The sequence below is a fragment of the Homo sapiens genome, chromosome 13 (genome assembly GCF_000001405.40).
Source record: "Homo sapiens chromosome 13, GRCh38.p14 Primary Assembly".
Lineage (NCBI taxonomy): Eukaryota > Metazoa > Chordata > Mammalia > Primates > Hominidae > Homo > Homo sapiens.
This window is the reverse complement of record NC_000013.11, coordinates 57,135,087-57,159,932: the sequence shown is the minus strand read 5'-3', so window position 1 is coordinate 57,159,932 and position 24,846 is coordinate 57,135,087. Positions and strand designations below refer to the sequence as shown.

Genomic DNA, 24,846 nt, shown 5'->3' with positions numbered 1-24,846 from the left:
GAGAAAGTTCCCTGGTGGGAGAGAAATTTCCAAGAGAAAGCGAGACCCAGTGTGGACAGCCCTTGAGGAAGAGACTGCGGCCTTGGTAGCCCGCCGGTTCATTCAGGCAGAGGTGGACCGAGAACCTGCTCTGAACGGGAAGTTGCGGAGCTTGGCTTGCGCACATCTGGTTGAAGGGGCTTTTGAACTGCCAAGTGAGGATGTCAAGTGGCCTTTTGTAAAAAGAGTCGAGCTCAGCGCGATGGCGACGGGGCTGGAGATGCGTGTGAGACCCACACCGCTGGCTTTTATTGCTGTGGGTGCACTCACGGGTGGAGGAAGACAGCGGGAAACACAGCAGGACGCTGGAGGGGATCCCACAGTGGGTTATTTGGTTGGTTTGCATCCTTGTGTCTTTTACAGAGACGGGTTCTCGCTCTGTAGCCCAGGCTGGAGTGCAGCGGTGCCATCTCGGCTCGCTGCGGCTACTTGGGGGGGGGGGGGGGGGGGGGGGGGGGCTGAGATAGGAGAATCAGTTCAAGTGATTCTCCTGTCTCGGCCTCCGGAGTAGCTGGACTACAGGTGAGCGCCACCACATCGGGATAATTTTCGGATTTTTTTGGAGAGACGAGGTTTCGCTATGTGCCCAGGCTTGTTTGGAAGGCCTGAGCTCAAGCCGTCCGTCCCGCTCAACCTCCCGAGTCGCTGGGACCCCAGGCGCAAGCCACCATGCCGGGCCAATTATTTTTTTGGGTTGTATTTCCTGTTGAAGTGAGGTTTTGCTATGCTTTCACCTCACATACCTTTTCTGTCCCAAGACCCCATCCAGGGTACCACCTTACAACTCGTCACGGTTCCCCTTGGCTGCGACGGTTTCTCACACTTGCCTTGTTTTTGATGACCCTGACACTTTGAATACTGATCAGATATATTGTGGGATGTCCTCTCCTGAAGTTCGTGTGATGTATTCCTTGTGATCTGACTGGAATTATATGTTTTTGTCAGGAAGATTGCAGCGGGAAAGCGCCATTCCCATCCCATCCTGTCTAGAGTACACACCATCAAGCCGGCTTATCACTGCTGCTATTAGTCCTGGTCACCGGGCTGGGGCAGTGTTGATTAGGTTTCTCCACCATAAAGTGATTTTCCCACCTCTTTCTCTACTGTGCTTTCTGGAAGTCGCTACCTGTAGCCTATACGTAAAGAAAAGGGAAGTTTTGCTTTATCTCCTTGCAGGGGAATAGCTACCTAAGTTCTGTGGAGTTCTCCTGTGTGGAGGATTTTCCCATTCTCCCCCACATGTTTGTTTATTTAATCACTTATTTATATCCGTATGGACTTATGGACACCTATTGTATGCTTTGGTTTACACTCCAGTACTTCGGGGGATGAATTATTTAATAATTGAACTAATTATTTTGTCAAATATTTTACTTAACTATTTAATTATTAATTATTTAGCTAATTACTTTGTTACTCAACGTTTCCAGCTTTGGCCACCGGGAGCTCCTTTAGTTGGCTTCCGTGTCCCTTTGTCAACCTCCCATCGCTGTGGCTTTTGGCTTTGTTTGGTTTTGGGCGGCTCCTTTCTCCCTGGCACCACAGGATGCTCCATGCTTATTTGCATATTCTCATCCTTATTGGGATTTCGTGTGCTCACTGACCGAACCCATAGATTCTTCTGTGAAGTTTCTCTTCAAAACTTTTATCTTTCTTATTGGGATAACTTCTCTCTCTCTTTTTTCCATTTTGAGACAAAGTTTTGCTCTTGTCACCCAGGCTGGAGTGCAATAGCATGATCTCGGATCACTGCAATGGCGCAGTCTGGGCTCACTGCAACCTCCGCCTCCTGGGCTCAAAGGATTCTCCCGCCTCAGCCTCCCGAGCAGCTGGGACTACAGTGGCCCACCACCATGCCTGGCTAATTTTCCTATTTTTATTAGGGCGAGACATGAGAATCGCTTCAGTCCCGGGAATGGAGTTCTCAGTGAGCCGAAGCCACCGCGCTCCAGCCTGGGTGAAAGAGTGAGAGTCTGTTTCAAAATAAATAAATAAATAAATGAACGAATAAATAAACCAGGAGGAATTACCAAGGGCTCTTGGTGCCTGCCTGCAGTCTGAGCTACTTGGCAACCTGATGTTGGAGGATCACCCGAGCTGAGGAGGCGCAGGCTGCGCTGAGCTGTGATTGCACCACTGCACTCCAGCCTGGATGACGGAATGAGACCCTGTCTTACTCCACGTACCAATGTTTAGTGAAGCATTCTGGTGGTAGAAATATCCTGGAAGTAGCGTATCAGCAGACCACCACCTGCATAATGTAAAAGCTGTGCATCTTTCCAGACAGATATACAGCAAGAAGATAGTGGCACATGTGCGTAGGATGACTGCAAGGGGGCTTTCTGGCTTATGGATGACAGACCCCAATGGCAAGCCAAGAAGCAGCTCCCACTGCACAGTGCTCATTGTGCTCCATGCCATGCTTCAATACGAAGTCGCCTGTTCCTAGTTTGGAGACGCACGGACTCCACAGAGGCTCTGGTCCTGACCACACCTGTGTTGCCTGCCTGGACCTTATAGTCACTTCAGCAGGACCCCTGGCGCATGGCACGCCAGGTGTTTGTAAAAGCGAGCCACAAACGATGCTCTCAATGTACACGTTTGTTGGTGTAGACTTGTGTGACTATGGGGAAAGATGCGATATGAATGGAGAACAGAGACTGGAGCCATTTTTCTACCTTCCTTTCTGCTTTTAGTAAACACATTTTGTATTTGCGATTTGTGAAAGTTTAGTGAAAGAACTGTTCTATAAAATAAGTCTGAAGAGAAAGGTTTATTTAGAAGGATTGAGTACACAAGAGAAAAATCTTTGATGTAAAAAGTTATCTGTATTTTATTTGGACGTTTACAAAGGAGTGAAAACCAGCCAACAACAGCCTACCTAATAAAATACAAAATACAAAAGTTCATAATACAACATTTATCAAACTCTGAAAAGATGGGAACTAACTCAACTTAAACATCTAAGAGACACCTACAGCCAACATCTTGGTTAATGGTGAAACATTCAAAATATTCCCATTAAAGCCAGGAGGAAGCCAAGGACACTGCCGTCAAATTACTGATTCCTGGTTTAGCGGTTCCAGTGAGTCATGCACTCTCCTTGCTTCCGTTAACCGCCCCCCCCCCCACCCCAACACCTTTTGTCTGATTCGTCACATGTCCTTTGATCCCCTTTTTCCTCAATCTGTTTGAAATTTTACCTTCTATTCCAATTCATTTAGTGGTTCCCAAAGGGTACCCACGTTGAGACTTAAAAATGTGTCAGTCTAGATTTTTATTGCTCTTATATTCAGCCAGTCTATCGTCTCCAGGCACTAGAGAAGCACTTTAGTAACTTCTAGCTCCTTCTGAGTTTTCGCATGTCCCACATGTCTATATGAGTGTCTTCTGGAATTTTAATTCTAGGTCATCAATCCTTTTTCCAGAATCGTACTTCTCTGGACTTAAGAATACAGTTTCCTAATTTCCATGCTTAGTGATCCTTGTTGCATCCCACTTCTTCCAGGTTGTCTGGGTTGGCTTCTTCTTGGCTGAAAAACGTGACGTGTACTTTCACTGTACATGACAGTTCCATTCCAATCGCCTTGTACAGAAAGGGTGTTTGGCAGCTTGCATGTTGTAAGTTGCGTACTCCAAGTTCAGGGGAAGCTCAGGCTTCAGGTCCAGTCGGGGGAGGAGTGGAGCAGAAGTGGGGCTGGGGGGAACGTCCAGGTGGAAGGAAGGGAGGCTGGGAACAACGTGGGTGGCAGATAGTGGTCAATACGCAATGTCGGTGAGGAACACTGGGACCCCTTGCACGTAGGTGCCCTGGGGGGTTTGAATGACTTGTAAAACCGCTGAGTCACCCAGAGCCCTAAACCCGATGCAGGGATAGAGGGTCAAGACGGGTTGCCAGTCAACAGCCTGAGGCCCAGGAGCAGCGGGCGGCTCCTGAAACCCCAGCTCAGGTTGCGCCACGTCGGGGCCAGGGCCTTCCTGCACAGTTCCAGGCGGAGGACCTGTTTCAGAAAGGGAGAAGGCTGCGGTCTCCGTGATTTCCGGTTCCCCCTGGTGGCCTGGCTCTCCATGGTGGTCCAGTTGGATGTGCACGTCCGGTGCCATCAAGCCTTCTGCCCCCTGTCTCTGGCCAGCGTCCCCGCGGGGCCCAGCCCTTCTGCCACGGCCTCGCCCTGGCCGCCGGCTTCCTCCCCGGCGCCGGCCTCTCTCTGCAGGAGGGGGTGACTCTGGGCGAGCTGGGGGCTGCCGTCTGAAGGGTTTCACGTAAGCGATGGGTTTTGCGGGTTGGGCTGGCTGTGCGGGCCCATCTGCTTCCACGGAGCCTTCAGGGTCCGCAACACAGCAGCCTGGCTCTGGAGGAGGCCCACCTGAGGCTAAAAGAGAAGCGGAGCGTGAGCAGAGAGAGACAGAAGGAACTTCACCCGTCAAGCAGTTATAGGATACTTTTACAAATAAATACTCAGAGAAAAGAGGGATTTCTGAAGTTAAAATTGTGAGAGAAGAAACAAAACTCTCCACGGAAGTTGGAGAATGAAGTTGAGAAGGTCTCCCACAGAACAAAGCAAAAACCTAAAATGATGGAAAGAAGGATGAAATATAAGAGAATTAGAGGTATGCTGTGGCTGAGACATTTCACCAGAAAATTTCAGAGTGCTGAGGAAAAAGAGAAGATTCTAACAGATTCTAGAGAGCGGGAGACAGAGAAAGGAAAAGTCACATGGAAAGGGCTAGGATTCCACATGTCTCAAAAGTCAGACATCTCAAAAGCAGCAGTTCAGTCTAGAACATAACAGAAAATGTCTTCGAAATTTCAAGGGAAATGAATTTCCCACCTAAAATTTCCTGTCCAACCGAAGTTTCGCTGAAGAATCTGGGAGGGGAGAATGAAGATGTTTCAGACAAGCAAGATGTTAAAGAATTTCCTTTCAGTGGATGCTTTATTGTTATGCATCTGTCAAACTAGACAAGATTAAAAGATTTAGGACACTCAGCGTATGAAGGGAAAAGTTTTGGAGAACAACGTGGCAACAGCCGGAAAATTCCAACTCCTCCGGGAAAGAACAAGGTGGAAGTACCGGTTTATCATAGATCAAGACGTAGCGTGAGGACTCGCTCTGCTACGGAGAAACAGTAATACAAAACTAAACAGAAGGAAACAGCGACAACAACAGCAAATCTCAGATTTGGGAAATGGGATTACGGTTCGGAAGAGGGAAAGGAATTTCCCAGATGATGTGGAACCCGGGAGCTGACTTCCAACAAGCAGCCCAGGTTGAGGCAGGCTAGGAGAAGGTGAAACAGAGAATGCTTGATTGAGTTTGAGTGTCAACCATTGGGGAAGAATTGGGGAACAGACGAAATTAAAAAGAGAGGAGTGGCAGGCGTTTGATGTACCTTGATTAGGGGCCATGGAGCGAAGTCGCTTCGAAGGCCTTGGTTCCTCCATGAGCAATCGGCGGGAGGGGCTGGGGAGAAAAACAAGAGAGCAAGAACGGATTTAGGAAGACAGAGGTGACAAGGCAGGGGGATGGCCGTGGCCTTTCTAGGGGAATGAGGATTCTGTCCCCAACTGCACCCACCCGAGATCCGTCCACGCCTCCGGGACCCCCAGACACACACCTGATCTTCCCACAGCTGGCTCCGGAGATCTGAAAATTAGGAGACTCTTCGACGAAGAGAGGCCCGAGGAGTCGGAGGTGTCCACAGGTTCACCGCTGTAGCTCTGAGGTAGTCCACCCGCAGCCAGGGAGTCTGGAGGGAGCACGCAGCAGGTTCTGGCTCCGAGCCCAGCAGAAAGCCGACTGCTGGAGGCCGAGCGCCGTCCCTCTTATATGGCAGCAAGGCAGTCGCGTAAGGGACAGGCGTCGTCAGAGGGGGGCCGGCTGGGGCGGGCCTGGCTGGGCTTGCGAGGCGCATTGGGCCAGTCCCCTGCCAGTCAAATGGGGGCCCTTCTGAGATGCCGCCATTTCTAGACGTCCGTGGTTGATTGATTAATCTAATCATCGAGGAAAAAAAATTGCATAATGACCTCTGAGTGTCAGCACAATGAGGTGTGGTGCCCTGAAAGCGGCTGACAGGAAGATGCGATTAGCTTAGATCTGAGCATGGTCAAGGAAAGCATCCAAAGCGGGGATATCTGGGCTGAAATCTGGAACATAACGTTTGAAATTAGTCATCCTGAACCGGGTTGGGAGAGGCAGGGAGGGAGGAAGGGGAGTGAAGAGAGTGTGCTGAGGCCCGGACTGGAAGGGAGCCCGGCACATTCTGGGAATGGACGGGAGGCCAAGTCCAGGCCCGGAGGTGGTGCGAGGTGGAGGCAGGGTCCGCGCAGGAGCTGGTCTTGTTCCAAGGCAGCGGAAAACCGTGGAACGGTGTCCGGCAGCGGGTTAACATTTCAGAAACGACCAGCCTGGCTGTGAAGGAGCGCCAACCCAGGGTCCGCAGAATAAGTCAGGAGAGGCAAGAAGGCTATTGCAGCCCTCGGGGTTGGGCGCAGGGTGCTGTTAGACTGAGACTCAGGGAGGTAGAGGAGGAGAAAGTTCCCTGGTGGGAGAGAAATTTCCAAGAGAAAGCGAGACCCAGTGTGGACAGCCCTTGAGGAAGAGACTGCGGCCTTGGTAGCCCGCCGGTTCATTCAGGCAGAGGTGGACCGAGAACCTGCTCTGAACGGGAAGTTGCGGAGCTTGGCTTGCGCACATCTGGTTGAAGGGGCTTTTGAACTGCCAAGTGAGGATGTCAAGTGGCCTTTTGTAAAAAGAGTCGAGCTCAGCGCGATGGCGACGGGGCTGGAGATGCGTGTGAGACCCACACCGCTGGCTTTTATTGCTGTGGGTGCACTCACGGGTGGAGGAAGACAGCGGGAAACACAGCAGGACGCTGGAGGGGATCCCACAGTGGGTTATTTGGTTGGTTTGCATCCTTGTGTCTTTTACAGAGACGGGTTCTCGCTCTGTAGCCCAGGCTGGAGTGCAGCGGTGCCATCTCGGCTCGCTGCGGCTACTTGGGGGGGGGGGGGGGGGGGGCGGGGCGGGCTGAGATAGGAGAATCAGTTCAAGTGATTCTCCTGTCTCGGCCTCCGGAGTAGCTGGACTACAGGTGAGCGCCACCACATCGGGATAATTTTCGGATTTTTTTGGAGAGACGAGGTTTCGCTATGTGCCCAGGCTTGTTTGGAAGGCCTGAGCTCAAGCCGTCCGTCCCGCTCAACCTCCCGAGTCGCTGGGACCCCAGGCGCAAGCCACCATGCCGGGCCAATTATTTTTTTGGGTTGTATTTCCTGTTGAAGTGAGGTTTTGCTATGCTTTCACCTCACATACCTTTTCTGTCCCAAGACCCCATCCAGGGTACCACCTTACAACTCGTCACGGTTCCCCTTGGCTGCGACGGTTTCTCACACTTGCCTTGTTTTTGATGACCCTGACACTTTGAATACTGATCAGATATATTGTGGGATGTCCTCTCCTGAAGTTCGTGTGATGTATTCCTTGTGATCTGACTGGAATTATATGTTTTTGTCAGGAAGATTGCAGCGGGAAAGCGCCATTCCCATCCCATCCTGTCTAGAGTACACACCATCAAGCCGGCTTATCACTGCTGCTATTAGTCCTGGTCACCGGGCTGGGGCAGTGTTGATTAGGTTTCTCCACCATAAAGTGATTTTCCCACCTCTTTCTCTACTGTGCTTTCTGGAAGTCGCTACCTGTAGCCTATACGTAAAGAAAAGGGAAGTTTTGCTTTATCTCCTTGCAGGGGAATAGCTACCTAAGTTCTGTGGAGTTCTCCTGTGTGGAGGATTTTCCCATTCTCCCCCACATGTTTGTTTATTTAATCACTTATTTATATCCGTATGGACTTATGGACACCTATTGTATGCTTTGGTTTACACTCCAGTACTTCGGGGGATGAATTATTTAATAATTGAACTAATTATTTTGTCAAATATTTTACTTAACTATTTAATTATTAATTATTTAGCTAATTACTTTGTTACTCAACGTTTCCAGCTTTGGCCACCGGGAGCTCCTTTAGTTGGCTTCCGTGTCCCTTTGTCAACCTCCCATCGCTGTGGCTTTTGGCTTTGTTTGGTTTTGGGCGGCTCCTTTCTCCCTGGCACCACAGGATGCTCCATGCTTATTTGCATATTCTCATCCTTATTGGGATTTCGTGTGCTCACTGACCGAACCCATAGATTCTTCTGTGAAGTTTCTCTTCAAAACTTTTATCTTTCTTATTGGGATAACTTCTCTCTCTCTTTTTTCCATTTTGAGACAAAGTTTTGCTCTTGTCACCCAGGCTGGAGTGCAATAGCATGATCTCGGATCACTGCAATGGCGCAGTCTGGGCTCACTGCAACCTCCGCCTCCTGGGCTCAAAGGATTCTCCCGCCTCAGCCTCCCGAGCAGCTGGGACTACAGTGGCCCACCACCATGCCTGGCTAATTTTCCTATTTTTATTAGGGCGAGACATGAGAATCGCTTCAGTCCCGGGAATGGAGTTCTCAGTGAGCCGAAGCCACCGCGCTCCAGCCTGGGTGAAAGAGTGAGAGTCTGTTTCAAAATAAATAAATAAATAAATGAACGAATAAATAAACCAGGAGGAATTACCAAGGGCTCTTGGTGCCTGCCTGCAGTCTGAGCTACTTGGCAACCTGATGTTGGAGGATCACCCGAGCTGAGGAGGCGCAGGCTGCGCTGAGCTGTGATTGCACCACTGCACTCCAGCCTGGATGACGGAATGAGACCCTGTCTTACTCCACGTACCAATGTTTAGTGAAGCATTCTGGTGGTAGAAATATCCTGGAAGTAGCGTATCAGCAGACCACCACCTGCATAATGTAAAAGCTGTGCATCTTTCCAGACAGATATACAGCAAGAAGATAGTGGCACATGTGCGTAGGATGACTGCAAGGGGGCTTTCTGGCTTATGGATGACAGACCCCAATGGCAAGCCAAGAAGCAGCTCCCACTGCACAGTGCTCATTGTGCTCCATGCCATGCTTCAATACGAAGTCGCCTGTTCCTAGTTTGGAGACGCACGGACTCCACAGAGGCTCTGGTCCTGACCACACCTGTGTTGCCTGCCTGGACCTTATAGTCACTTCAGCAGGACCCCTGGCGCATGGCACGCCAGGTGTTTGTAAAAGCGAGCCACAAACGATGCTCTCAATGTACACGTTTGTTGGTGTAGACTTGTGTGACTATGGGGAAAGATGCGATATGAATGGAGAACAGAGACTGGAGCCATTTTTCTACCTTCCTTTCTGCTTTTAGTAAACACATTTTGTATTTGCGATTTGTGAAAGTTTAGTGAAAGAACTGTTCTATAAAATAAGTCTGAAGAGAAAGGTTTATTTAGAAGGATTGAGTACACAAGAGAAAAATCTTTGATGTAAAAAGTTATCTGTATTTTATTTGGACGTTTACAAAGGAGTGAAAACCAGCCAACAACAGCCTACCTAATAAAATACAAAATACAAAAGTTCATAATACAACATTTATCAAACTCTGAAAAGATGGGAACTAACTCAACTTAAACATCTAAGAGACACCTACAGCCAACATCTTGGTTAATGGTGAAACATTCAAAATATTCCCATTAAAGCCAGGAGGAAGCCAAGGACACTGCCGTCAAATTACTGATTCCTGGTTTAGCGGTTCCAGTGAGTCATGCACTCTCCTTGCTTCCGTTAACCGCCCCCCCCCCCACCCCAACACCTTTTGTCTGATTCGTCACATGTCCTTTGATCCCCTTTTTCCTCAATCTGTTTGAAATTTTACCTTCTATTCCAATTCATTTAGTGGTTCCCAAAGGGTACCCACGTTGAGACTTAAAAATGTGTCAGTCTAGATTTTTATTGCTCTTATATTCAGCCAGTCTATCGTCTCCAGGCACTAGAGAAGCACTTTAGTAACTTCTAGCTCCTTCTGAGTTTTCGCATGTCCCACATGTCTATATGAGTGTCTTCTGGAATTTTAATTCTAGGTCATCAATCCTTTTTCCAGAATCGTACTTCTCTGGACTTAAGAATACAGTTTCCTAATTTCCATGCTTAGTGATCCTTGTTGCATCCCACTTCTTCCAGGTTGTCTGGGTTGGCTTCTTCTTGGCTGAAAAACGTGACGTGTACTTTCACTGTACATGACAGTTCCATTCCAATCGCCTTGTACAGAAAGGGTGTTTGGCAGCTTGCATGTTGTAAGTTGCGTACTCCAAGTTCAGGGGAAGCTCAGGCTTCAGGTCCAGTCGGGGGAGGAGTGGAGCAGAAGTGGGGCTGGGGGGAACGTCCAGGTGGAAGGAAGGGAGGCTGGGAACAACGTGGGTGGCAGATAGTGGTCAATACGCAATGTCGGTGAGGAACACTGGGACCCCTTGCACGTAGGTGCCCTGGGGGGTTTGAATGACTTGTAAAACCGCTGAGTCACCCAGAGCCCTAAACCCGATGCAGGGATAGAGGGTCAAGACGGGTTGCCAGTCAACAGCCTGAGGCCCAGGAGCAGCGGGCGGCTCCTGAAACCCCAGCTCAGGTTGCGCCACGTCGGGGCCAGGGCCTTCCTGCACAGTTCCAGGCGGAGGACCTGTTTCAGAAAGGGAGAAGGCTGCGGTCTCCGTGATTTCCGGTTCCCCCTGGTGGCCTGGCTCTCCATGGTGGTCCAGTTGGATGTGCACGTCCGGTGCCATCAAGCCTTCTGCCCCCTGTCTCTGGCCAGCGTCCCCGCGGGGCCCAGCCCTTCTGCCACGGCCTCGCCCTGGCCGCCGGCTTCCTCCCCGGCGCCGGCCTCTCTCTGCAGGAGGGGGTGACTCTGGGCGAGCTGGGGGCTGCCGTCTGAAGGGTTTCACGTAAGCGATGGGTTTTGCGGGTTGGGCTGGCTGTGCGGGCCCATCTGCTTCCACGGAGCCTTCAGGGTCCGCAACACAGCAGCCTGGCTCTGGAGGAGGCCCACCTGAGGCTAAAAGAGAAGCGGAGCGTGAGCAGAGAGAGACAGAAGGAACTTCACCCGTCAAGCAGTTATAGGATACTTTTACAAATAAATACTCAGAGAAAAGAGGGATTTCTGAAGTTAAAATTGTGAGAGAAGAAACAAAACTCTCCACGGAAGTTGGAGAATGAAGTTGAGAAGGTCTCCCACAGAACAAAGCAAAAACCTAAAATGATGGAAAGAAGGATGAAATATAAGAGAATTAGAGGTATGCTGTGGCTGAGACATTTCACCAGAAAATTTCAGAGTGCTGAGGAAAAAGAGAAGATTCTAACAGATTCTAGAGAGCGGGAGACAGAGAAAGGAAAAGTCACATGGAAAGGGCTAGGATTCCACATGTCTCAAAAGTCAGACATCTCAAAAGCAGCAGTTCAGTCTAGAACATAACAGAAAATGTCTTCGAAATTTCAAGGGAAATGAATTTCCCACCTAAAATTTCCTGTCCAACCGAAGTTTCGCTGAAGAATCTGGGAGGGGAGAATGAAGATGTTTCAGACAAGCAAGATGTTAAAGAATTTCCTTTCAGTGGATGCTTTATTGTTATGCATCTGTCAAACTAGACAAGATTAAAAGATTTAGGACACTCAGCGTATGAAGGGAAATGTTTTGGAGAACAACGTGGCAACAGCCGGAAAATTCCAACTCCTCCGGGAAAGAACAAGGTGGAAGTACCGGTTTATCATAGATCAAGACGTAGCGTGAGGACTCGCTCTGCTACGGAGAAACAGTAATACAAAACTAAACAGAAGGAAACAGCGACAACAACAGCAAATCTCAGATTTGGGAAATGGGATTACGGTTCGGAAGAGGGAAAGGAATTTCCCAGATGATGTGGAACCCGGGAGCTGACTTCCAACAAGCAGCCCAGGTTGAGGCAGGCTAGGAGAAGGTGAAACAGAGAATGCTTGATTGAGTTTGAGTGTCAACCATTGGGGAAGAATTGGGGAACAGACGAAATTAAAAAGAGAGGAGTGGCAGGCGTTTGATGTACCTTGATTAGGGGCCATGGAGCGAAGTCGCTTCGAAGGCCTTGGTTCCTCCATGAGCAATCGGCGGGAGGGGCTGGGGAGAAAAACAAGAGAGCAAGAACGGATTTAGGAAGACAGAGGTGACAAGGCAGGGGGATGGCCGTGGCCTTTCTAGGGGAATGAGGATTCTGTCCCCAACTGCACCCACCCGAGATCCGTCCACGCCTCCGGGACCCCCAGACACACACCTGATCTTCCCACAGCTGGCTCCGGAGATCTGAAAATTAGGAGACTCTTCGACGAAGAGAGGCCCGAGGAGTCGGAGGTGTCCACAGGTTCACCGCTGTAGCTCTGAGGTAGTCCACCCGCAGCCAGGGAGTCTGGAGGGAGCACGCAGCAGGTTCTGGCTCCGAGCCCAGCAGAAAGCCGACTGCTGGAGGCCGAGCGCCGTCCCTCTTATATGGCAGCAAGGCAGTCGCGTAAGGGACAGGCGTCGTCAGAGGGGGGCCGGCTGGGGCGGGCCTGGCTGGGCTTGCGAGGCGCATTGGGCCAGTCCCCTGCCAGTCAAATGGGGGCCCTTCTGAGATGCCGCCATTTCTAGACGTCCGTGGTTGATTGATTAATCTAATCATCGAGGAAAAAAAATTGCATAATGACCTCTGAGTGTCAGCACAATGAGGTGTGGTGCCCTGAAAGCGGCTGACAGGAAGATGCGATTAGCTTAGATCTGAGCATGGTCAAGGAAAGCATCCAAAGCGGGGATATCTGGGCTGAAATCTGGAACATAACGTTTGAAATTAGTCATCCTGAACCGGGTTGGGAGAGGCAGGGAGGGAGGAAGGGGAGTGAAGAGAGTGTGCTGAGGCCCGGACTGGAAGGGAGCCCGGCACATTCTGGGAATGGACGGGAGGCCAAGTCCAGGCCCGGAGGTGGTGCGAGGTGGAGGCAGGGTCCGCGCAGGAGCTGGTCTTGTTCCAAGGCAGCGGAAAACCGTGGAACGGTGTCCGGCAGCGGGTTAACATTTCAGAAACGACCAGCCTGGCTGTGAAGGAGCGCCAACCCAGGGTCCGCAGAATAAGTCAGGAGAGGCAAGAAGGCTATTGCAGCCCTCGGGGTTGGGCGCAGGGTGCTGTTAGACTGAGACTCAGGGAGGTAGAGGAGGAGAAAGTTCCCTGGTGGGAGAGAAATTTCCAAGAGAAAGCGAGACCCAGTGTGGACAGCCCTTGAGGAAGAGACTGCGGCCTTGGTAGCCCGCCGGTTCATTCAGGCAGAGGTGGACCGAGAACCTGCTCTGAACGGGAAGTTGCGGAGCTTGGCTTGCGCACATCTGGTTGAAGGGGCTTTTGAACTGCCAAGTGAGGATGTCAAGTGGCCTTTTGTAAAAAGAGTCGAGCTCAGCGCGATGGCGACGGGGCTGGAGATGCGTGTGAGACCCACACCGCTGGCTTTTATTGCTGTGGGTGCACTCACGGGTGGAGGAAGACAGCGGGAAACACAGCAGGACGCTGGAGGGGATCCCACAGTGGGTTATTTGGTTGGTTTGCATCCTTGTGTCTTTTACAGAGACGGGTTCTCGCTCTGTAGCCCAGGCTGGAGTGCAGCGGTGCCATCTCGGCTCGCTGCGGCTACTTGGGGTGGGGCGGGGGGGGGGGGGGGGCTGAGATAGGAGAATCAGTTCAAGTGATTCTCCTGTCTCGGCCTCCGGAGTAGCTGGACTACAGGTGAGCGCCACCACATCGGGATAATTTTCGGATTTTTTTGGAGAGACGAGGTTTCGCTATGTGCCCAGGCTTGTTTGGAAGGCCTGAGCTCAAGCCGTCCGTCCCGCTCAACCTCCCGAGTCGCTGGGACCCCAGGCGCAAGCCACCATGCCCGGCCAATTATTTTTTTGGGTTGTATTTCCTGTTGAAGTGAGGTTTTGCTATGCTTTCACCTCACATACCTTTTCTGTCCCAAGACCCCATCCAGGGTACCACCTTACAACTCGTCACGGTTCCCCTTGGCTGCGACGGTTTCTCACACTTGCCTTGTTTTTGATGACCCTGACACTTTGAATACTGATCAGATATATTGTGGGATGTCCTCTCCTGAAGTTCGTGTGATGTATTCCTTGTGATCTGACTGGAATTATATGTTTTTGTCAGGAAGATTGCAGCGGGAAAGCGCCATTCCCATCCCATCCTGTCTAGAGTACACACCATCAAGCCGGCTTATCACTGCTGCTATTAGTCCTGGTCACCGGGCTGGGGCAGTGTTGATTAGGTTTCTCCACCATAAAGTGATTTTCCCACCTCTTTCTCTACTGTGCTTTCTGGAAGTCGCTACCTGTAGCCTATACGTAAAGAAAAGGGAAGTTTTGCTTTATCTCCTTGCAGGGGAATAGCTACCTAAGTTCTGTGGAGTTCTCCTGTGTGGAGGATTTTCCCATTCTCCCCCACATGTTTGTTTATTTAATCACTTATTTATATCCGTATGGACTTATGGACACCTATTGTATGCTTTGGTTTACACTCCAGTACTTCGGGGGATGAATTATTTAATAATTGAACTAATTATTTTGTCAAATATTTTACTTAACTATTTAATTATTAATTATTTAGCTAATTACTTTGTTACTCAACGTTTCCAGCTTTGGCCACCGGGAGCTCCTTTAGTTGGCTTCCGTGTCCCTTTGTCAACCTCCCATCGCTGTGGCTTTTGGCTTTGTTTGGTTTTGGGCGGCTCCTTTCTCCCTGGCACCACAGGATGCTCCATGCTTATTTGCATATTCTCATCCTTATTGGGATTTCGTGTGCTCACTGACCGAACCCATAGATTCTTCTGTGAAGTTTCTCTTCAAAACTTTTATCTTTCTTATTGGGATAACTTCTCTCTCTCTTTTTTCCATTTTGAGACAAAGTTTTGCTCTTGTCACCCAGGCTGGAGTGCAATAGCATGATCTCGGATCACTGCAATGGCGCAGTCTGGGCTCACTGCAACCTCCGCCTCCTGGGCTCAAAGGATTCTCCCGCCTCAGCCTCCCGAGCAGCTGGGACTACAGTGGCCCACCACCATGCCTGGCTAATTTTCCTATTTTTATTAGGGCGAGACATGAGAATCGCTTCAGTCCCGGGAATGGAGTTCTCAGTGAGCCGAAGCCACCGCGCTCCAGCCTGGGTGAAAGAGTGAGAGTCTGTTTCAAAATAAATAAATAAATAAATGAACGAATAAATAAACCAGGAGGAATTACCAAGGGCTCTTGGTGCCTGCCTGCAGTCTGAGCTACTTGGCAACCTGATGTTGGAGGATCACCCGAGCTGAGGAGGCGCAGGCTGCGCTGAGCTGTGATTGCACCACTGCACTCCAGCCTGGATGACGGAATGAGACCCTGTCTTACTCCACGTACCAATGTTTAGTGAAGCATTCTGGTGGTAGAAATATCCTGGAAGTAGCGTATCAGCAGACCACCACCTGCATAATGTAAAAGCTGTGCATCTTTCCAGACAGATATACAGCAAGAAGATAGTGGCACATGTGCGTAGGATGACTGCAAGGGGGCTTTCTGGCTTATGGATGACAGACCCCAATGGCAAGCCAAGAAGCAGCTCCCACTGCACAGTGCTCATTGTGCTCCATGCCATGCTTCAATACGAAGTCGCCTGTTCCTAGTTTGGAGACGCACGGACTCCACAGAGGCTCTGGTCCTGACCACACCTGTGTTGCCTGCCTGGACCTTATAGTCACTTCAGCAGGACCCCTGGCGCATGGCACGCCAGGTGTTTGTAAAAGCGAGCCACAAACGATGCTCTCAATGTACACGTTTGTTGGTGTAGACTTGTGTGACTATGGGGAAAGATGCGATATGAATGGAGAACAGAGACTGGAGCCATTTTTCTACCTTCCTTTCTGCTTTTAGTAAACACATTTTGTATTTGCGATTTGTGAAAGTTTAGTGAAAGAACTGTTCTATAAAATAAGTCTGAAGAGAAAGGTTTATTTAGAAGGATTGAGTACACAAGAGAAAAATCTTTGATGTAAAAAGTTATCTGTATTTTATTTGGACGTTTACAAAGGAGTGAAAACCAGCCAACAACAGCCTACCTAATAAAATACAAAATACAAAAGTTCATAATACAACATTTATCAAACTCTGAAAAGATGGGAACTAACTCAACTTAAACATCTAAGAGACACCTACAGCCAACATCTTGGTTAATGGTGAAACATTCAAAATATTCCCATTAAAGCCAGGAGGAAGCCAAGGACACTGCCGTCAAATTACTGATTCCTGGTTTAGCGGTTCCAGTGAGTCATGCACTCTCCTTGCTTCCGTTAACCGCCCCCCCCCCCACCCCAACACCTTTTGTCTGATTCGTCACATGTCCTTTGATCCCCTTTTTCCTCAATCTGTTTGAAATTTTACCTTCTATTCCAATTCATTTAGTGGTTCCCAAAGGGTACCCACGTTGAGACTTAAAAATGTGTCAGTCTAGATTTTTATTGCTCTTATATTCAGCCAGTCTATCGTCTCCAGGCACTAGAGAAGCACTTTAGTAACTTCTAGCTCCTTCTGAGTTTTCGCATGTCCCACATGTCTATATGAGTGTCTTCTGGAATTTTAATTCTAGGTCATCAATCCTTTTTCCAGAATCGTACTTCTCTGGACTTAAGAATACAGTTTCCTAATTTCCATGCTTAGTGATCCTTGTTGCATCCCACTTCTTCCAGGTTGTCTGGGTTGGCTTCTTCTTGGCTGAAAAACGTGACGTGTACTTTCACTGTACATGACAGTTCCATTCCAATCGCCTTGTACAGAAAGGGTGTTTGGCAGCTTGCATGTTGTAAGTTGCGTACTCCAAGTTCAGGGGAAGCTCAGGCTTCAGGTCCAGTCGGGGGAGGAGTGGAGCAGAAGTGGGGCTGGGGGGAACGTCCAGGTGGAAGGAAGGGAGGCTGGGAACAACGTGGGTGGCAGATAGTGGTCAATACGCAATGTCGGTGAGGAACACTGGGACCCCTTGCACGTAGGTGCCCTGGGGGGTTTGAATGACTTGTAAAACCGCTGAGTCACCCAGAGCCCTAAACCCGATGCAGGGATAGAGGGTCAAGACGGGTTGCCAGTCAACAGCCTGAGGCCCAGGAGCAGCGGGCGGCTCCTGAAACCCCAGCTCAGGTTGCGCCACGTCGGGGCCAGGGCCTTCCTGCACAGTTCCAGGCGGAGGACCTGTTTCAGAAAGGGAGAAGGCTGCGGTCTCCGTGATTTCCGGTTCCCCCTGGTGGCCTGGCTCTCCATGGTGGTCCAGTTGGATGTGCACGTCCGGTGCCATCAAGCCTTCTGCCCCCTGTCTCTGGCCAGCGTCCCCGCGGGGCCCAGCCCTTCTGCCACGGCCTCGCCCTGGCCGCCGGCTTCCTCCCCGGCGCCGGCCTCTCTCTGCAGGAGGGGGTGACTCTGGGCGAGCTGGGGGCTGCCGTCTGAAGGGTTTCACGTAAGCGATGGGTTTTGCGGGTTGGGCTGGCTGTGCGGGCCCATCTGCTTCCACGGAGCCTTCAGGGTCCGCAACACAGCAGCCTGGCTCTGGAGGAGGCCCACCTGAGGCTAAAAGAGAAGCGGAGCGTGAGCAGAGAGAGACAGAAGGAACTTCACCCGTCAAGCAGTTATAGGATACTTTTACAAATAAATACTCAGAGAAAAGAGGGATTTCTGAAGTTAAAATTGTGAGAGAAGAAACAAAACTCTCCACGGAAGTTGGAGAATGAAGTTGAGAAGGTCTCCCACAGAACAAAGCAAAAACCTAAAATGATGGAAAGAAGGATGAAATATAAGAGAATTAGAGGTATGCTGTGGCTGAGACATTTCACCAGAAAATTTCAGAGTGCTGAGGAAAAAGAGAAGATTCTAACAGATTCTAGAGAGCGGGAGACAGAGAAAGGAAAAGTCACATGGAAAGGGCTAGGATTCCACATGTCTCAAAAGTCAGACATCTCAAAAGCAGCAGTTCAGTCTAGAACATAACAGAAAATGTCTTCGAAATTTCAAGGGAAATGAATTTCCCACCTAAAATTTCCTGTCCAACCGAAGTTTCGCTGAAGAATCTGGGAGGGGAGAATGAAGATGTTTCAGACAAGCAAGATGTTAAAGAATTTCCTTTCAGTGGATGCTTTATTGTTATGCATCTGTCAAACTAGACAAGATTAAAAGATTTAGGACACTCAGCGTATGAAGGGAAAAGTTTTGGAGAACAACGTGGCAACAGCCGGAAAATTCCAACTCCTCCGGGAAAGAACAAGGTGGAAGTACCGGTTTATCATAGATCAAGACGTAGCGTGAGGACTCGCTCTGCTACGGAGAAACAGTAATACAAAACTAAACAGAAGGAAACAGCGACAACAACAGCAAATCTCAGATTTGGGAAATGGGATTACGGTTCGGAAGAGGGAAAGGAATTTCCCAGATGATGTGGAACCCGGGAGCTGACTTCCAACAAGCAGCCCAGGTTGAGGCAGGCTAGGAGAAGGTGAAACAGAGAATGCTTGATTGAGTTTGAGTGTCAACCATTGGGGAAGAATTGGGGAACAGACGAAATTAAAAAGAGAGGAGTGGCAGGCGTTTGATGTACCTTGATTAGGGGCCATGGAGCGAAGTCGCTTCGAAGGCCTTGGTTCCTCCATGAGCAATCGGCGGGAGGGGCTGGGGAGAAAAACAAGAGAGCAAGAACGGATTTAGGAAGACAGAGGTGACAAGGCAGGGGGATGGCCGTGGCCTTTCTAGGGGAATGAGGATTCTGTCCCCAACTGCACCCACCCGAGATCCGTCCACGCCTCCGGGACCCCCAGACACACACCTGATCTTCCCACAGCTGGCTCCGGAGATCTGAAAATTAGGAGACTCTTCGACGAAGAGAGGCCCGAGGAGTCGGAGGTGTCCACAGGTTCACCGCTGTAGCTCTGAGGTAGTCCACCCGCAGCCAGGGAGTCTGGAGGGAGCACGCAGCAGGTTCTGGCTCCGAGCCCAGCAGAAAGCCGACTGCTGGAGGCCGAGCGCCGTCCCTCTTATATGGCAGCAAGGCAGTCGCGTAAGGGACAGGCGTCGTCAGAGGGGGGCCGGCTGGGGCGGGCCTGGCTGGGCTTGCGAGGCGCATTGGGCCAGTCCCCTGCCAGTCAAATGGGGGCCCTTCTGAGATGCCGCCATTTCTAGACGTCCGTGGTTGATTGATTAATCTAATCATCGAGGAAAAAAAATTGCATAATGACCTCTGAGTGTCAGCACAATGAGGTGTGGTGCCCTGAAAGCGGCTGACAGGAAGATGCGATTAGCTTAGATCTGAGCATGGTCAAGGAAAGCATCCAAAGCGGGGATATCTGGGCTGAAATCTGGAACATAACGTTTGAAATTAGTCATCCTGAACCGGGTTGGGAGAGGCAGGGAGGGAGGAAGGGGAGTGAAGAGAGTGTGCTGAGGCCCGGACTGGAAGGGAGCCCGGCACATTCTGGGAATGGACGGGAGGCCAAGTCCAGGCCCGGAGGTGGTGCGTGTGAGACGGGGCTGGAGATGCGTGTGAGACCCACACCGCTGGCTTTTATTGCTGTGGGTGCACTCACGGGTGGAGGAAGACAGCGGGAAACACAGCAGGACGCTGGAGGGGATCCCACAGTGGGTTATTTGGTTGGTTTGCATCCTTGTGTTTTTTACAGAGACTGGTTCTCGCTCTGTAGCCCAGGCTGGAGTGCAGCGGTGCCATCTCGGCTCGCTGCGGCTACTTGGGGGGGTTGGGGGGGGGTGGCTGAGATAGGAGAATCAGTTCAAGTGATTCTCCTGTCTCGGCCTCCGGAGTAGCTGGACTACAGGTGAGCGCCACCACATCGGGATAATTTTCGGATTTTTTTGGAGAGACGAGTTTTCGCTATGTGCCCAGGCTTGTTTGGAAGGCCTGAGCTCAAGCCGTCCGTCCCGCTCAACCTCCCGAGTCGCTGGGACCCCAGGCGCAAGCCACCATGCCGGGCCAATTACTTTTTTGGGTTGTATTTCCTGTTGAAGTGAGGTTTTGCTATGCTTTCACCTCACATACCTTTTCTGTCCCAAGACCCCATCCAGGGTACCACCTTACAACTCGTCACGGTTCCCCTTGGCTGCGACGGTTTCTCACACTTGCCTTGTTTTTGATGACTCTGACACTTTGAATACTGATCAGATATATTGTGGGATGTCCTCTCCTGAAGTTCGTGTGATGTATTCCTTGTGATCTGACTGGAATTATATGTTTTTGTCAGGAAGATTGCAGCGGGAAAGCGCCATTCCCATCCCATCCTGTCTAGAGTACACACCATCAAGCCGGCTTATCACTGCTGCTATTAGTCCTGGTCACCGGGCTGGGGCAGTGTTGATTAGGTTTCTCCACCATAAAGTGATTTTCCCACCTCTTTCTCTACTGTGCTTTCTGGAAGTCGCTACCTGTAGCCTATACGTAAAGAAAAGGGAAGTTTTGCTTTATCTCCTTGCAGGGGAATAGCTACCTAAGTTCTGTGGAGTTCTCCTGTGTGGAGGATTTTCCCATTCTCCCCCACATGTTTGTTTATTTAATCACTTATTTATATCCGTATGGACTTATGGACACCTATTGTATGCTTTGGTTTACACTCCAGTACTTCAGGGGATGAATTATTTAATAATTGAACTAATTATTTTGTCAAGTATTTTACTTAACTATTTAATTATTAATTATTTAGGTAATTACTTTGTTACTCAATGTTTCCAGCTTTGGCCACCGGGAGCTCCTTTAGTTGGCTTCCGTGTCCCTTTGTCAACCTCCCATCTCAGCAAACTAACACAGGAAAAGAAAACCAAATATCACATGTGCTCACTCATAAGTGGGCGTCGAACAATGTGAATACATAGACACAGGGAGGGGAATATCACACACTGGGGTCTGTGAGGGACTGGGAATCTAGGGGAGGGAGACTATTAGGAGAAATACCTAATGTAGATGATGGGTTAATGGGTGCAGCAAAACATCATGGCACCTTTATACCTATGTAACAAAGCTGCACGTTCTGCACATGTATCCCAGAACTTAAAGCATAATTTAAACAAAAATTAAAGAAAAAAATTCCCTCACCCCTGCTCCACCCATCCCACAATCCTTCAACTTTTGTATCAGTGGCGAGAAGTGTTCCTCATGCAACATTCAGTTTCCTGCTTGGAAGGAATCCTCTATCCTGTGAATATCCCTCCAGAGATAGCACGTTCTTAATTCAGGGGATGCAAGGGCACACACAGAGTTGGGAGGTGGAAGACATGATGGATAAGGTGGATGGGGTAGTGAAGATGGCATGGAAGACTATACGGTATTTCATATATACTTGATAAATCTATATATTTTGTGTCTGAATTAAGATCCCAAGAATTTTAACAAGTTCTTAATTTCATGCAGGTCAAAGAGAAAATGAGCAATAGTACCTAATGTTGAGACTTGTAAATTTTCTTTCTGTGTTTTTAGAAGTGTTAGACATGATTGTATTAATTGACTGACAACCCAATATCTAACCTGGCTCATCCTCACCTTTCTGCTTTCCTTCTTTCCTCCTTCTTCTTCTTCCTCTTTTTTTTTTTTTTTTTTTTTTTTGTTGTTGTTGTTGTTGGTGTCCTTCCACTGATGTCCCTTTAATGACTACAGGCTAAGCAGTGTCTAGGGACTAGGGGTAAAATATTGAGCAAAACACATACTATTCTGCTTCACATTGGGTTTATGATCTAGAAACAATGTTGCACTTGGGGACACCTTAGTTTTTAGCAATCATCACTGTCTGAATAGAAAAATTATGAAGTAATAAACAATTTTGGGAAACACATATACTTGGTTCAAAATGTTGTAGAATCCCCCAATTTAGGTTAATGTTCCTGATACATAGTAAACCAAAAACTGACACCTCAGCTCCTAGGAGCAGAGAGAGTTTTATTCAATTTGGCCAAAACAAGAGGGCAGGAGAGAGAAATCTCTCAAATCCTACCTGTCTTTGAACATATTTGGTGGATTTTATGAGTAAGGTATGTATGTGAGGGGTGAGATGCCCTTATAATCAAAGCTGTTTGCGTCCTTTGGCCTGATCCGACTTCTAGTTGCCATCAAAGAGGTCTGCATGGTCTAAGGTTCATTGTTCTTTGAAAGACAAACAAGTTTATGAATCCTATGGGCTGTGCTTGGAGGTTGGGATGTGAAGTTAATCAATTGCTAGTGACTACTCCCTACTGAAACTACTACATGCAAGCAAGCATGCATGGAGAAAGAAAAGAACGAAGAGAAAGAAAGTAAGTAAAACAAAGTCTTGTGATTTTTATGAAATACAGGCTTCGTTACAAAAACACAGAAGAGATAAAATAAATGTACAAATAAATAGAATTACAGACACTTTTATTGAGATATATTTGCTTGAATAGGCATTAGCTGTTAGATATATTTACTCAGGTAAATGCATTTAAATGATTGTAACTGTTTAACAAGATTTTAAAATGCAACTAACTAGCATTGTTTCTGATAAGAATGTGAAAATGTTATACTACAAAAATTTGTTTGATGTTAATGCTAGCAATATTCACTACACTGATTTACATTACGAGATCTTGGAGAAGCATAAAATTATAGTAAAATGAATATGAAAGGCAAGCCAAAGGCAATAATTGCCTTATAAAGGCCTTTCAATAAATATCAAAATGCTGAGTTGGCCAATACCGTGATTCAGAAAGCAAAAGCCAAATTTTTAAAAAAGGAAGTATTTCTTAAGACATTTTTTTTTTCTAGGACTCAACTTTGAAGGATAGGAGAAACTCCATAATGAAGACAAATTCTCAACTCCATGAGAAAAGAGTAAAACTTTAATTGATGTGTTAAGAGATTTATTGCATTTCTTCTTATTGTCAGAAGATTCTAATTTTAAAATTGACTTCTTTTTCAGGAAACATGACAGATGATATTTTGTTTACTATCACATTAAGAGCAGTGTATCAATGTTGTTTATATGTGTTCATTATGTAATTTATAATGAAGATAAATAATCTGATAAATAATTGGAGGAAAACTCAAGTCAATATCAAAAAAAAGCAAATTCTCCAAAGTAACATAACCCAGTTGTGAAATAAATAATAATATATTCAAGTTGATAAAACAAATATATAACTTAAACTCTTTATTATTCTCTACAGTAAAGACCAGATTATAATCAAGTATAAACCATTAAAAAATTTACCAGATATAATTTTTTGATTATTTCAGTTTTTCAAATGGCATTTATTGTCTAAAAGATTAATTTATTTTATTTTACCTCCATATATGAATACCCCTTAAAGGTCTTTTGAAATATTGGCCAAAAACAACAACAACAACAAAAATGTATGGGCATAATTTCAGGTTGTTCAAGCTTTTAAATAGAACTGAACATTCAGTGCTTGTATTGTAATATTATGGTATTACTCAGTTTTGTTTCATTAACAAAGAAGTCTCAAATCTCAGTGATTTAAACAAAACATTTATTTTCAGATTATATTAATCATGAGCAATTCAAGTTCAGCTATTTAATTTGCTCCACACTTCTTTTTCTGAAATTGATGTTGAAATTTGAGCCCTTATTTGGAACTTGTTGCCCTTGAGGACACGTGAAAAGGGCAAGGGGCAAAAACATGAGATTCCTTTAAAAGTCTCAGCTTAGAACTAGCACCTTGTCACTTCTGCTCACATTGGTTCCAGAAAGCCACATGACAATGCCAGAAAATGAGGTAAGGAAGGATGCTCTGCGTATGTGTGACATTGGGAGGGGATGCTTGATCTTCTAACAGAGAAGAGAATGAATTAGTTGCTGAGAAAAATCATATAATCCATTATTGAAGTATTTTTAATTTCCTGCTTCCATTCCAGTATATTTTTGAAAATATTTATGATCTTTTAATTATCCTAATAACTTTCCTTCTCCACTAGCATTAATAGTGCTTTTAAAATATATATGCTTGGGAAACACTTGTAAGTTGAATTAAAAGGGAAAGTAATTATGAATAAGCTATAGGGTCTATCTCTGCCTAATTCAGTTATTGCTCTTACTCTTTCCACTTGTCCTTTGATACTGAATACAAAGAAAAAAAGTAAAGGAAGAGAAAAACAACCAGCTTGATGTTCTAGGAAACGTTGATCATTTTCTAAAACAATATAAGCCTGTATGTTCACAACTGATGGACACAATAATGTTCTCGCCATGTGAGCAGAAAGGATGAGATTTGTAGGGTCACAATTTATAAAAGCTCTGCGTCCTGTTGACAGAGTCTAGAGGGACATTCAAATATGAAATTGGGAGTCTTAGTAGTCCCAGGGTGGAAAATTTCTATAATTGGGACTCGCACTGAGAATATAAAGAACATTAAAATGCCATTAACTTCAACTATTCGCACTCTGATAACACATTGAAACTAATTATTATGACATTATAGAAATATGTGTAGTATCCAAATGCTCTCTAAGTTATTTACGAAAGTGAATATAAAAGTGCATTTGGTAGCAGAGAGCACGTTAACTTTATTGTAGAATAAAAAGCCACCTTACTCCATGTAGAGAAAATTCAGTATAATGTATTTGATCTATATTCATTATTCTAACGAATATCATGGCCAACTGAATTTATTGAAAGTGAATGACTTTCAAATGGACTGATTTCAGAGGACTAAAAACTGGAGTAGAAGCATGAGAAGAAATTGAGAGTAGTATACCTCAGTTACTTATTACTTGTTTTATTTTCTTCAATTACCATTTGTCGCTGTGTTTTTTCTCTTTATATGTTGCCTTTTGACTGGCATTGCTTTGATATCCTGAACAGACAGCTGCTGCCAAGTTTACCAAAAGTGAAATGTTGCA

The 24,846-nt window shown here is 47.4% G+C and overlaps 3 protein-coding genes and 1 long non-coding RNA gene across 4 annotated transcripts, besides 1 other annotated feature; 1 reads left to right on the top strand and 3 right to left on the bottom strand.

The window, feature by feature from the left end:
• Window positions 1-2,850: 2,850 nt before the first annotated feature.
• Window positions 2,851-5,872, bottom strand: PRR20C (proline rich 20C). Its single transcript, NM_001130405.1, has 3 exons — window positions 5,659-5,872; window positions 5,434-5,504; window positions 2,851-4,412 (listed from the first exon to the last, which is right to left on the bottom strand). Exons 2-3 carry the CDS (start codon window positions 5,483-5,485, stop codon window positions 3,799-3,801), a joined length of 666 nt encoding a protein of 221 aa, NP_001123877.1. The 5' UTR covers window positions 5,486-5,504; window positions 5,659-5,872; the 3' UTR covers window positions 2,851-3,798.
• Window positions 6,984-7,278: a silencer, noted in NCBI's record as "tiled region #3887; K562 Repressive non-DNase unmatched - State 24:Quies". NCBI's record gives its function as "represses a minimal TATA promoter and a strong SV40 promoter by Sharpr-MPRA in K562 cells {active_cell/tissue: K562}" and the evidence as "EXISTENCE:reporter gene assay evidence [ECO:0000049][PMID:27701403]".
• Window positions 9,424-12,445, bottom strand: PRR20B (proline rich 20B). The gene is made up of 3 exons (NM_001130404.1): window positions 12,232-12,445; window positions 12,007-12,077; window positions 9,424-10,985 (listed from the first exon to the last, which is right to left on the bottom strand). The coding sequence occupies exons 2-3, from the start codon at window positions 12,056-12,058 to the stop codon at window positions 10,372-10,374; spliced, it is 666 nt and encodes a 221-aa protein (NP_001123876.1). The 5' UTR covers window positions 12,059-12,077; window positions 12,232-12,445; the 3' UTR covers window positions 9,424-10,371.
• A 3,548-nt stretch (window positions 12,446-15,993) lies between these two features.
• PRR20A (proline rich 20A) lies at window positions 15,994-19,015 on the bottom strand. Its single transcript, NM_198441.2, has 3 exons — window positions 18,802-19,015; window positions 18,577-18,647; window positions 15,994-17,555 (listed from the first exon to the last, which is right to left on the bottom strand). The coding sequence occupies exons 2-3, from the start codon at window positions 18,626-18,628 to the stop codon at window positions 16,942-16,944; spliced, it is 666 nt and encodes a 221-aa protein (NP_940843.1). The 5' UTR covers window positions 18,629-18,647; window positions 18,802-19,015; the 3' UTR covers window positions 15,994-16,941.
• Window positions 19,016-22,194: 3,179 nt separating this feature from the next.
• Window positions 22,195-22,846, top strand: LOC124903235 (uncharacterized). The gene is made up of 2 exons (XR_007063920.1): window positions 22,195-22,262; window positions 22,753-22,846. It is a non-coding gene; the product is annotated as an uncharacterized LOC124903235 (long non-coding RNA).
• Window positions 22,847-24,846: the final 2,000 nt, after the last annotated feature.

Excerpts from the sequence above, each read along its gene's own strand:
- PRR20C (NM_001130405.1), bottom strand. The coding sequence starts at position 5,485 with ATGGAGGAACCAAGGCCTTCGAAGCGACTTCGCTCCATGGCCCCTAAT. Across the intron at positions 4,413-5,433 it reads CTCCATGGCCCCTAATCAAG|CCTCAGGTGGGCCTCCTCCA; the intron begins GTACATCAAACG and ends CTTCTCTTTTAG.
- PRR20B (NM_001130404.1), bottom strand. The coding sequence starts at position 12,058 with ATGGAGGAACCAAGGCCTTCGAAGCGACTTCGCTCCATGGCCCCTAAT. Across the intron at positions 10,986-12,006 it reads CTCCATGGCCCCTAATCAAG|CCTCAGGTGGGCCTCCTCCA; the intron begins GTACATCAAACG and ends CTTCTCTTTTAG.
- PRR20A (NM_198441.2), bottom strand. The coding sequence starts at position 18,628 with ATGGAGGAACCAAGGCCTTCGAAGCGACTTCGCTCCATGGCCCCTAAT. Across the intron at positions 17,556-18,576 it reads CTCCATGGCCCCTAATCAAG|CCTCAGGTGGGCCTCCTCCA; the intron begins GTACATCAAACG and ends CTTCTCTTTTAG.